This window comes from Homo sapiens, chromosome 5 (assembly GCF_000001405.40).
Source record: "Homo sapiens chromosome 5, GRCh38.p14 Primary Assembly".
In the NCBI taxonomy this organism is placed as follows: Eukaryota; Metazoa; Chordata; class Mammalia; order Primates; family Hominidae; genus Homo; species Homo sapiens.
The window spans coordinates 129,555,307-129,569,255 of NC_000005.10; the positions used below are offsets into that span (position 1 = coordinate 129,555,307).

General features: G+C 33.7%; 1 protein-coding gene across 12 annotated transcripts in view; it reads left to right on the forward strand.

Annotated features, from left to right (window-relative positions):
- The window catches only part of ADAMTS19 (ADAM metallopeptidase with thrombospondin type 1 motif 19), a 278,386-nt gene that overhangs the window by 95,009 nt on the left and 169,428 nt on the right, over positions 1–13,949 (forward strand). The window contains exon 1 of one of the 12 annotated variants that reach the window (XM_011543249.3): positions 6,211–11,229. The exons of the other annotated variants lie outside the window; for them this stretch is intronic. Within the exon in view, the coding sequence (XP_011541551.1) occupies positions 11,202–11,229 (28 nt within the window). The 5' untranslated portion in view covers positions 6,211–11,201. Of the gene's footprint in view, positions 1–6,210; positions 11,230–13,949 lie in introns of those variants that run through there. 12 annotated transcript variants of the gene reach the window in all.

Below are 13,949 nucleotides of genomic sequence, written 5' to 3' on the forward strand. Positions count from 1 at the left end.
TTGTATTTTCAAAGCAATGGTAAGATTTATGCTTTGCACTGTAATTCAAACAGTATTTTCATGGACATTATCTCATTTAATTCCCTCAAAATCTGAACTCCCTAGTTTTGTTATCATTATTATTTTACAGATGAAGAAAGCCCTGAAAAACAAAAGGATCATAGATTTTGAAGTCAGATGTCTAGATTTAAATCAGGGCTATGCTACTTATTGACTATGTGAATTTAGGCACACTAATATCTCGAAAGCTTGGATTCCTCACCTTTAAAATAGAGGCTACATCTTCTATCTCACAGAATGCTGTGAAACTGTGACAGTCGCAAAGCAGCTAGTTAACTGGCATTTTATCTACACCAGTTTCTATCACATCCTGTTATTCCCCATGGAGAGGTTACAGATTTTCCCAGAATCACTGATAGTAAATGATAGTGCTAGACTCTACCTCAGATCTTCTGACTGTACTGTCACCTTTCTTTTATAACATTGTATTTTTATACAATAGATAAAAATACAACTAGAAAACTGAATGTGAGAACACTGTCTTCAGATGAAGATATAGAATTAAATTGGAAATGACAAACACAAACTTAGAAATAATTTTATTTACCAATATTTCAACTTTAAAACAATAGAATATTGTGCTCATTCGCTGAGTCAAAAGGTTTGTGCATTTTAAATGAGTTAGGCTATGTTAATGTTACAGAATATTATTAAGCAAGTGCTTCCGTTGATAAATTATAGTTATTTACTAAGCTTATATTTGAAAAGCTACATGGGGGATAAAAAGTAAAAATAATTTTTACCACCTTCTCAATTACACACTTTTTCCTGTTGATATAGTTATGTAGATGGTTTGGTAGGTCAGTAGGTAGGTATGTAGATCATGGAAGAAAATACATGCTATTATATGTTTTAACCCATAAAAATATCAATTTAAAAACATATGTGCATTTTCCTTTTAAATCCCTGAAATTAGGATTCATTTCACAATGAATGGCTTACCAGGGTTGTCAGAATTTAATTCAAAGTTTTTAAAATCTTAGATTGAATGAACTATAGTGGTATACTTAAATTTCAAGGGAAATAAAGTATATTTCATTGTGCAAGTGGCAACTATCTCTTTGCTGCTATTGATTATGAAGTTGCCTTAATTTTTGTGGTAGGCAGAATAATGGTCCTCAAGAGTGTATTTGCCCTAATCCCTGGAATTTATGAATATGTTAGGTTACAAAGCAACAAAGAATTAAGGTAGTGGATGGAATTAAGGCTGCCAATCAACTGACCTTGAAATAGGGAGATTATCCTGTATTATCATGGTAGGCCCAGTGTTGTCACAAGAGTTCTTAAAAGTGGGAGAGTGAGGCAGAAAAGTTCTGAGTCAGAGAGAGACATGATTACTAAAGAAAGACAGAGATACAATATGAAAAGAATTCAACTCATTATGGATGGTTTGAAGAATGAGGGGGTTACTAGTGAAGAAATGTGAGCAGCTTCTAGAACATGCAAAAACAAGGAAATAGAATCTTCCCTAGAGCCGACATAAGTGAACACAAACAGCCTTTTCAACACTTGATTTTAGCCAGTGAGGTCTGTGTCAAACTTCTAACCTAGAAAACTGCAAGAAAATAAATTTGGATACCTTAAGCCACTGAATTTGCAATATTACAAGCAGCCATGGAAAACCAGAACACTTTCTAAGTTAATGTTGCCTCCATCATTTAGAGAAAGAATAAAGAAACGTGGTGATTTCAAATCTTTAAACTGTGGTATCAACAATTCTGTTTCTGTGGTTAGTTTTGAGAACTGGTAAAGAGCTTGAGATTAGATAAAAAGTAGTAATTGGTACCATGATATATAAATATATATATAAGGAGTAACAAACTCAGGTTCTGTTAACAAACATGATTAATTATAGTTAACTATTTCTAGCTGAGAGATTAGCCAAAAAGAAGCCTATCTCTTCTTTTAACAATTAAATAAATTGAATCAATTCTTTAAAAGCTACCCATGGCCAAGCACAGTGGCTCCTGCCTGTAATCCCAGCTCTTTGGGAGGCTGAGGCAGGCAGATTGCTTCAGGCCAGGAGTTCGAAACAAGCCTGGACAACATGGTGAATCTCTATCCCTACTAAAAATACAAACAAATTAGCTGGGCATGGTGACACGCACCTGTAATCCCAGCTACTTGGGAGGCTGAGGCAGGATGATCGCTTGAACCCAAAGGCAGAGGTTGCAGTGAGCCGAGATGGTGGCACTGCACTCCAGCCTTGGCAACAGAGTGAGGCCCTGTCTCACAAAAACTTATAATAAAATAAAAATAAAATAAAATCTACCTACAAAAATACTAGGCTCTGATGATTTTTGTAGTTGATTTCTATGTTCCAAAGATGGATTATTTCAATGTTATACAAACTATTTTAGAAAATAGAAAATGGAGGGATTAAAACTGTATAAATGTCTTACTAAATCCTAAGAGGACAGAGTAAAATAGAAAAATGATAAGCCCTTCTTTATTAGGAAAGAAATTAAGAAAGTCAAAACCAAATATTAGCAGATATTATCTTACAATGCTTTTTTTTTTTAAATAACCAAGTACGGTTATTTTATTGCAGGTTTATTCCAGAAATGCAAGAGTAGTTTAACATTAGAACATTTTAAAATGTAACTATATATTCCAATTAAAGATAAAAACCATATGATCATCTTGTTTGGATAAAGAAAATGCCTTTCATACGATTCAAAACACATTCATGATAAAAACTCTTGGCAAAGTAGGAACTTTATTAACCAGTAGAAGTCACTTACAAAACAACTTGTAAATATCTTTCCTTTTAAACAGTGGAGCATTAAAAGCATTCCTTTTAGAATCAGAAACAAGGAAACAATTCTGCTACCACCACTTCTATTCGACAATGCACTGAAAATTTTAGGCATTACAATAAACTAGATAATTGTATTATCTACATAAAGAAAAAACAGATTATAGAATTAAATTATGAGAAATAGTAGGAGAGTTTAATTGGTGGTTAGATATCAAATCAATATGCAATAACCAATTGCATTTTATTTTGGTAATAGGCAGTAAGAAATTAAAACTTGTTTATTTTATGTAAAATATGAAATATATTGAAATATATCTAATGACAAATATGTAAGACATATGGACAATATTATAGACTATATTACAATTCATTAAAGAAGACCTTGATGAAGAGATACACTCTACTCATGGTCTGAAAGACTAAGTATGATACAAATGTTCATTTCCCTCAAACTGATCTATTAATACAATGCATTCCATTAAAATTCTAACGAGAGTTTTGAAGGAACTAGATAGGATGATTCTAGATGTATAGAGGAACATAGGTCTGAAAATTGCCAAGGTACTGTTGAAGAAAGAATATGGGAAGGAAGGAAACCTGCGCTATCAGATACCAAGATATAGTACACAGTAAATATGAAAATGCAGTTGCCTGTATTTGGAAATTGATGTATACTGCAGATCACTGGGTAAGGCATAGTTCAATACATTATGTTAAGTTGGTTATTCACATGAAAAAAATTTGAGATTAATTCATATGGTTTAAATTTGCAAAAACAGGAGTCTATTTTTGATGTAGAGACAGACAGATTTCTTAGAGAGTACACAGAAATGTTAATCATAAAGAAGCTATATTAATATTTAAAATGTATGCATATTAAAAGACATAGTAATGAAAGTGAACAAAAGCAAGCTTCTGTCAGGGAGAGGATACCATATTTCATGGATTTTAAAGTATCTTCAATTTTCATTGATTTCAAGACATACCATTACTTTATGTATCACTAAATAAATAAGACAATGACTAATTTTAATTCTCAGATATTATTGAAGACATTACAATGTGAAATGAGGTGAATCTTAGAATTATTGATGTATATTAATAGTATTTCCAATACATGTAACCAACAAAGTATTAGAACCCAGAGTATAAAAACAACTTTTCTAAATCAGTAAGTAAGAAACAAACAAGGAAGTAGACATGCCAAATAGGGCAAAAGACTCCAAAGACCATTTTTGGAAGATAATACATCAAGGGTGAATTAAAAAAAAATAAAATGGTAAGATGCCCAACTTCATTAGTAGTAAAGGAAATGAACATTCAGATCACAAGCAGATTTCTACCAGTGGGATTGATGAAATTAAAATCTTACATTATAAAGTGATGGCAAGTATGTGAATCTATGGAAACAATGTGCTTCAGGAGTGAATTTAAATTGGTGTAATCATTTTGGAGAACTTTGGGCGGTATTTAGTAAAACTGGCATTTGTACAACTTGACGTCATTAATTACATTCTTACACATACACCTTAGAGAATCCTATATGCATTAAAGACATGTTTATGATAGAAATGCAAACATATATCCAAGTCCAAAGTTTATCTTTTCTTTTCTCTCAGGAATATAAAGCTCTTAAAACATTCTACATCCCCTGTCCTTATTGTAGGCTGTTACCATTTTTTAAAACAACTTATTTGATTTTTAAAACACACAAGATGTTATGTTTTTCTACAGTCAGTGCTCAATTAGATTTATTCACATATTTATTATTTTATTAGTTTTTATTAGTTCTTCATTCTTTCTTACAAACCAGTTCTCTATCCTAATCTTACTTTCCTCCTATTGAAGCAATATTTATTAGAATTTCCCTTAGTAAAAGTCTACTGGGGACACACACTTAAGTTTTATTTGGTATGAAAATGTCTTAATTTTACTTCAATTCTTGAAAGATATTTTAAGTGAGTATAAAATCCCAGGATTCTGGATACCTATTTGGTATTTTTGTTTTTTCAGCACATTTTGAAGATTTAGTTGACCTGTCCTTTGGCATCCATTGTTGCTCTTGAGGATTTAGCTATCAGTCTAACTTATTTTAATGCCATTTGTTCTACAAAAACAAAACAAAAACAGAGTCTAGGTTAAAGTAGACAAGTTTTCATGCTATAACTTTTTTTTAGGGAGCAGGTTGTTTTTCTTATCATTTCATTGAGTTTAGTTATTTGTGTGGGAGGGTGGGGAAAGATGGTATCTTCTCCCACTCACTTTAATTAGAAGTTTCAGTTCTGAGACCTCACCTTGAACAGGCATTATCTTTGTCCCAGTGCGATGGCTAAGGCTGAACATTTTGGATCTGAGATTGGCAAATGCCTATAGGCAACCAGCACATCAGTGCCAGCTCAGAACTCTTCCCTGCTTTTCCTTCAGCCCATGGAAGGATTTCCCTTAAGAGTGAACTCAGCTATGCATTTAAGATGATTTTTGTTATTTTTACTCCGTCATTTATATGTTCAGGTGATTCGCAACCAGAATTTTCTCACTGCTGGAAGTAGAATTTCAAGGAAAACTTTTTAAGTACTACTGTACTTTATGTATGTATTTTTATACATACATATGTTTATACATCTTGCAGCAACATTTAGTCACACAATTCAGTTTGCTCAACATTCACATGTGTTGTGACACTAACTTGGATAATTGGTTTTATAGTTAAGATGTCACCGCAAGTTTTTTTAAAAAAATAGTTTTAGAAACTGTTTTAGAGATGTTCAGATTGTCTGTATGCCTCAAGGTAGTAATTATTAAACTTTTTGGTCTTTGTACTCCTTTACATTCTTGAATTATTTAAGATCCCAAATAGATTTTTATGTAGGTTACATTTATCAATTATTGCTGTATTAGAAATTAAAATAGATAAATTCTAAAAACATTTTGATTTATTTAAAATTAATAAAACATCAAATGTTAGCATAAAGGACATGCATTCATAATTTTTACAAAAATTAGCTATATTATCTAGAACAATAAAAATAGTGAGAAGCCATGGCTTTGTTTTATATTTTTGAGAGTTTCTTTGTTTGGGTTCTAGAAGACAGCTGAATTTCATATCTACTTCTGCATGTAAGATGTTTCTGTATGTTATTACGGTTGACCTGTATGAGGAAAATGTGGCCTTACCCAGAATGAAGTTGAAAAATGGAGGACTAATTCCTGGCTAACAAGGTGAAACCCCGTCTCTACTAAAAATACAAAAAATTAGCCGGGCGCGGTGGCGGGCGCCTGTAGTCCCAGCTACTCGGGAGGCTGAGGCAGGAGAATGGCGTGAACCCGGGAAGCGGAGCTTGCAGTGAGCCGAGATTGCGCCACTGCAGTCCGCAGTCTGGCCTGGGTGACAGAGCGAGACTCCGTCTCAAAAAAAAAAAAAAAAGAAAAATGGAGGACTATTTTCAGATTATTGTGCGTTTTCTAAAACGCATGTCGTAGTGTTTTAAAAGTTTGTGGAATGGGACAATGTAGAACCTGAAAGCATAGGATGAACTTTCACACTCTATTATATTAATATCTATTGGTATATCTTACACTTTAAATGGATCTTTTAACCCTGCATGACTTTTTAGTATCAATTATCTATTGATTGGAATATATTAGTTCACTGAGTCAGGCAGATCTTCTAAATGTTGACACATTTCACCCTACTATCTATCTATCTATCTATCTATCTATCTATCTATCTATCTATCTAATCTATCTGTTAATATCACCATCTATATTATCAGAAAAGTATTTAAGTTTTGAGAAGCTGTCAAGCTCATGGTGACAGATGAAAGTTTTCCAATATTCTAATTTTTCACTTGAAAACTTGAATTTTATTCTTGGCAAGAAAAATAGTCATAATACCATCAGTTGGTTTTTATAGAGTGACAAGTTCACTTTGTTCATTTTTAGGCAAGTATTGCTCAGATTTCCAAGTCTGAATACTGTTTGTCACTTATTATTTCAGTGAAAAAATGATGCTTCATGAAAAGCACAGCTGGCTCAGCTCATAACTCAAACAATCTCACAGTACTTTTAACTGAGACATCATATTTTAGCCTGCAACAGAAATGCTTTATCCATACTTCCTTTTTGTTACACAAAAATATTTTTTAAATGTATATACTCAAGTGTTGAGATTTGATAAAATGAATAAATGTTACTGCTACATCTGGAAATTTTGAAGTGAAATTGTCATGGTACCCCTCCTGGGAGTAAGCGGCAGTGAATAAAATGACTGACAGTGAAGTTGGTGCCACTGTCTTGACTAGGCAATTTTACCTACCATTACTTTGGCACCATCACTACAAATGTCAACACAGTTTTAACTTTGTATATACCTCTTGAAAAGGTCTTAGAAGACCCACTGAAAGGGTCTTATGGAATCCCAGGTTTCTGCATAACCCTCTTTGAGCAATTCTGCCATAAGCTGAGAATGATTGATAATCAATGGGGATAGTCAGTGTTTACGTGTGTGTGTGCGTGTGTGTGTGTGTACACGTGTTTCATGAGACTTTTTAAGGACTTTAACATATAGAAAATTGGTAAATACTTAAAGCTGGCAAAGATAAATGCTGATTGAATAAGTTTCCTGCTGTGAATATTCCTCTAATACTTGTTGATGAGAGAGGCTGTGTATCCTTTACCACCAAGTTCCCAGCTCTATGATGCTCTGACTCTCCAGGCATTCTATGGAAACTTAGTTGCTTCAACATCCTAACTTTTTTTTTTCTGTCTTTGAGCAGGTTGGAATGATCCAGGTTATTCTTCTCTATGCTTCTGAATATTCTGATTTTATGTACTTGACATATTGTCAAATAGGTATACAGACCACCCAGGAAGCAACTGCCAAAAAGAAGCATATCCATACACTAAAACATATTTAAATAGCCCTTTATGTCAACACTGTACTGTGAGAATCTCCAGACCCTTCCCTTTCCAAACATCAGTACATTCTTCATACCACATTTCAGCAGAAGTAATCATTTTTGCCAGGTGAGAAGAGGTTAAGCTCATTTTAAAATAGCTTAATTTTTATTAAACAGCAATTTGGCATTTTTTTTTTTGCATTATAGCACCTCAACCATAGAGAATTTCAGGGACTTAAAATACTTAAAGCAATTATTGAGGTCATCTTTTTACTTCAATACCTTTTATGATAGAATTATATTGTTTGTACTGAAAAGCCTTATTAGTTTAATATATTACATATTTTTAAGCCTTTGGACTAGGCGAAGAATAGGTTAACTTTTGTCTACATAAATCTTAGTTTCTAATTGAATTGGTAGTGTAATTAAGTATTCAAGGGAGTTCCAATGCATTCATTGGGGATTTATATATTCAAAGTCCAATATCAAGCTCTATGATGGATTCAAGGTTGACAATCAGATTTTTGCCCACTCAGTCTAGTGGGACATATACTTTTGCAGAAGAAATTAGCAAGCATATTAGAAGCCTGTGCCCACCTTCAATGGGTAAACTTTTATAAAAAATATTTTTTGAAAAATTTTTGAATATTTAGAGGTCTTCACATTTGTGAGAGATATGCTGTTATAATGCACTGCTCAGTGATTAACACAGGAAGCTTCAGATATGCAAATAGAATATATTCAGTGTGGTAGACAGAATTCTAAATATGGCAATCCCAAGATTTCTGACCTCTAGCTATTCAATCAAATGCTAATCTAAGTACTGCTGTGAAGGAATTTTGCAGAGGTAATTAAAGTTTTTCAGTTTACTTTAAGACATGGAGATCTAACCAGGTGAAACTTTTTTTTTTTGACACGTAGTATCTCTTTGTCACCGAGGCTGGAGTGCAGTGGCGCAATCTCGGCTCACTGGAACCTCCGCCTCCTGGGTTCAAGCGATTCGCCTGCCTCAGCCTCCCCCTTAGCTGGCATTACAGGCATGTGCCACCATGCCCAGCTAATTTTTTGTATTTTTAGTAGAGACAGCGTTCCAGGTGAAACTCTTAAAGCAGAAGCAAGGCACTGAATTGTAGCAAAAACCTGCATGAGTTTGTAAGCTGATACTTTCCAAAACCTTTAAACAAGAGCACAGCCTGAATGATATATTGACTTTGGCCTTGTGAGACCTTAAGCAGAGAACCCAGTCACGCCCACCCAGACTTCTGACCTATAGTAATGTGGAATAATAAATGGCTGTTACTTTAAGCTGTTACATTAGTGGTAATTTGCTACGAAGCAATAGAAAACTAGCTCATTCTGACTAAAGGATGCATATTATTTCATATTAATTGGGGGCTTTTATATGGGAAGAAAACAAGTCCACCTTGGATGCAAGTATATACATGATCCTTGGTGAGGACAGAATAAGAAGGAAGAAAATGTTTGTTAAGAAATAAAAGTTAAGGGGAGAAATTGGAAGAGATTTTCATTTATCATATCCGATGAGACAGTAAAACAGCAAAAGGATTTTACGAGGATTTTGGAAGGACTTAATACAATTCTGTAATCATTCCAATTTCTCCATATTTAATATTCATTTCCCTTGTCCCATCAGTGATGAACAAAAGCATATTAAGGTGATATGGCTCTAAACACTTGACTGTGGTACAGAAAGGAAAGGGGTCGGGAAAATTGGTCCTTCAAGGAGGTAATTTGGATGGTGCCAGCTTGGAATAGAGGAAATGCAAGTCTCTGGGCCTCCAGCAGAGAAGCTAAGAAAATCCAATGGAGTCAGATTGGGCCTGGGCATGACATTAGCTTTGAAATAAAAAGGCCTGTGAGGTTTATTTATATATAAGGTAAACATATATTTTGTAGTTCATACCAAGGAACTTTTAAAAGTTAAGAGACATAATTATGCTTAGACAAAAGCAGAAGTTGGGATGCCCTAGGCAAAGTAGCCCTATGGTCACTCTATTGTTGATGAACATGTTTAAGATATTAAACACACTAATCAGAATTTTTAATAATAAATTTAAAATTACTTACTTCAGAGATATTAACCATCACAATTATTTCTATAATTTAGATTTTTCATTATTTAATCTCCCAATAATTATAATTAGACTTAATAGGAATAAACCTATGAGCATTTGCTACATGTATTAGAAGCTGATTCTATACCATTTCTCTTAACTTTGTTTTCATTTAATCCAGATGGCCACAAAGCATTGGCTATTGGCACATTATGATGGTCTGGGTCTCAGATATATTCGATACACAGAGAGTAATAACCTTCATCTTGTACTAAATTCTCATATCTGAGAGGCCTGGAAATATACTTTGAAGATAATATGAAATGTGCTACTGTATCCATTTTCCTCAATTTTTATTGGTTCTTGCATTTCAGATGATCTTCTTTTCACTTCTCTTTCTTATCATTTATTCAATTTCCTCCAATATTTTGAAACCCCTATTCTGTGCCCAAGTTTGTGTTAGGTGCTAGATGCTAGAAATAGAGTGGTGCCTAAAATGATCCTATTTATATATTCTTTAAATGTTTTCCTTTTTCCTAGCCTTTCATTATTGTTGCCCAGATAACCTAAAAAGTTTCCTATTTGTCTCCCTTTTATACTGAGCCAACATTTTATCTTTTTCTATCATAGCTTACGAGAATAAATGTATTGATACATATCTCTTAAACATAGAGAAGCCTTAGTATTTTCTTCCAAATCTGGATGTGAAGGGAAAAAAGGTCTGCCATCAAATTTTAATGATGTTGGTTTGATCAGAAAACTCTATTTTGAACTCAGTAGAAATTTTTCTTAGCATTTTTTTAAGCAACAGTATTGGGGAAAATTGGCAAATCTGTTTTTTTCCTTTTTGTTTAATCATTAGTATGCTAATAATATTAATACAATTTATATTATTTTAAAGCAGATGTCTAGTAGGTTAGTTCTACTATGGTGTATAGAATATTATCAATTATTACATGACAAAATATAGAAACTGTATAAGCCCATACAGAAGAAAATCCTTTTGTCAAATATTGCAGTGCTTTGGGACTTTAATATGTAAATAATCTAGTGATATACCAAAGTTGTCTCTGCATTTTCCAGGTCCTTCCCAATCCTGTCCTCTAAGTAGTTGGACAGTGGAAATAACTCTAAAGAATGCTGAGATAATGGAAATGTTTGATTTGCATCATAGAAAAAAAATATAATTCCCTAGGTAGTTTTCTTTGAGTTATAAGATGCTAGTGTTGGTTTATTATTTTTATTTTTTGCAGAGAAGTAACTATCTCTGTCTAGTTTCAGGTAAACTGGAGTAAACACACTCCACCCTTCTCTCTCCCATTGAATGCACCTATAAAACTTGAGAGAATGGAACACCTGTTTGAGGATTTTTAAAAGTAAAAGTAACAGGCTGATTGGGAAGAAGATATGAATTTGAAGTGCCACCAAACCAGCAGTGAGTTTATAATTTTTCTCTCTTTTTGTATTCTCCATCTTGGATTCAACACAGCCCACACTTGTAAGTTGTCATTAGGGCCTGTAGAGATAAAACACTAGGAGAAGCCCTCCCATTCTGGATTAAGGACCAGGAAGGGGCCCTGATGCTCAGAGAAAGTAGGAGAAGCCCTTCCTTTAATGTCTACATTCTCTTCTGCCCCATCTCCCATCTTCTACAATCCCATGATAGCAGCAGCAGGGGTAGTAACAGTGGCAGGAAGATGAGCCATAAAAATTTGGATAAATCTTCCTCTCTGATCTGAACAGCTTTAATCCCATGAGGATGGGGTAGACGCCATTGCTTCTCATCTCTTGATTCCGTCTGCTTGTACGTGGAAACAGACACAATTATGAGAACACAGCAGAGAGGTAACTAACTCCATACTTTCTGAAAGCAGGAAATGAGAACTGCATGGAAGTGGAAGGTGCGAAAAAGAGCATGGAGAGGGAAGGGCTTAGGAAAGTGACCTCAAAGCTGTTTACCAACTTGTGCTCAACCTTAAGCTTTGTATGTGTGGATATGACTCTAAAATTTCTTTGAGAACAGAGCTATTACAATAGCAATGCAAAGGCCTTGAAAATTGACAATTTAACCAAGACACGCAGAAGCCTTGTAAGTTTGGAACTTATAGCATGAACCAAACTAGGTTGATTTTATGCTAAAAAAATTAACATTCTTCATAAGATTTAAATAAGTCTCCTAATGTTATAGGTAAAATGTCTAGAACACAATTCAAAATTATTTTACATATAAAAACATGAAAATCTCAATTTGCATGGGAAAAGACACCCAACAGATGCCAATTCTGAGATGGCACAGATTTTGGAACTATCTTGCTAGACTAAAGCATTTATTATAAAGATGATCTAACAAGTAAGGGCAAGCATATTTCAAATGAATGGAAGGGTAGAAAGTCTTAGTAAATAAATAGAAAGAAAAAGCAAATTGAAGTTTTAGAATTAAGAATAAAATAATTGGAATAAAATCTCTCTGGATAAGCTGAATAGCGGCATGGAGCTGACTGAGAAAAGAGTCAGTGAACTTTAAGACAAATCAGAAGAAACTATCCAATCTGATAAATGAAGAGAAAAAAGATTGGGAAAACAATACCAACAGAGCCTCAGAAACTCACTGGTTCCTGAGGCACAGTAGTTATCATGGGCTCCAGGAGAAGAAAAAAAAAATATGACTGAAGACTTCTCACATTTGGAAAAAAATTTAAACCATCAGATTTAAGAATCTGAGCAACTCCACACAAGAAATACACAGAGAAATGCACAGCTGGAGACATCATAATCAAACTGCTGAAAGCTAAAGACGAACTAAAAATGACACCAAAAAACAAGCTGTTATTTATAAGGAAACAGTGATTCCAATGACAGCCGATTTCTCATGACAAACCATGAAATCCAGAATCCATGAAAGAAAGGATTGTCAATGTAGAATTCTATATTTTCAAAAAATATTTTTCAGACATAAAGGTAAAATAAGGACATTATAAAATGAAGAAAAACTAAGAGAATTCATAGCCAAAATTGCTGCTTTAAGAGAATTGCCAAAGGAAGTAGTTCTAACAGAAGGGAAATGATACTTAAAGGAAACTTGGAACATCAGGAATGCAGAAAGTAAAAGAAATGACAAATATCTGGATAAATAAAATAGACTACTCTCAACCCCAGAATATTTTAAATAGCCTTGATATTTGAAAGCAAAAATTGTAACATTGTCTGTTGGAGTCCATGATGTATAGTAGATTTAATACATAAGACAACAACAGTAATACATGGGGGGGGATAAAGGGACTTTCATGTTGTTAATTAAGCTTTCAATATTCCATTTGAAATGGTAAAATACTGATTCTAAGTAGACTTTTAAGGGTGAATATTATGTAATGTAAAACCTATGGGAAGCAACCACTAAAAATATACACAGAAGGATGAAATTAAAAACACAATAAATACACTGGGCATGGTCACTCATGCCTGTAAGCCCAGCATTTTGGGAAGCTGAGGCTGGTGGATCACTTGAGGCCAGGAGTTTGAGACCAGCCTGGGTAACATAATGAGACCTTGTTGCCACAAAAAAAGTTTAAAAATTAGCCAGGCATGGTATTGTGTTCTGGTAATCTCAACTACTCAGCAGGCTGAGGTGGAAGAATCACTTGAACCCAGGAGTTTGAGGTTACAGTGAGCTATGATGACACCACTGTACTCCAGCCTGGGTGACAGAGCAAGACCTTGTCTCTTAAATAAATAAATAATTAAACAAATCATTTAATATTGAAAAAATATTCAAAAAAAATAGAAGTCAGGAAAGGATAACAGAAGAAAGGATAACAGTAAAAACAACATCAACAAAAAAAATAATAAAATGTTAGGCCCAAATTTTCACATTTCAATAATTCATTAGATATAAATAGTTTGAACACGCCAAATAAAAGGAGTTCTTCAGAACTGATTAACAATTCAAAGACCCCATCTTTGCTATCTGAAAGAAACTCACTTCAACTATAATACACAGGTTAAGAGTAAAAGGATGAAAAAGATATACTGTGGAAAAAGTAGTAAAAAGTAAAAAACAAAAACAAAACAAAAAAACCCTCAAGTGACTATTTATATCAGATGATGTAAATTTCAGACCAAAGAAAATTACCAAGAATTAAGAGGGACATTACATAA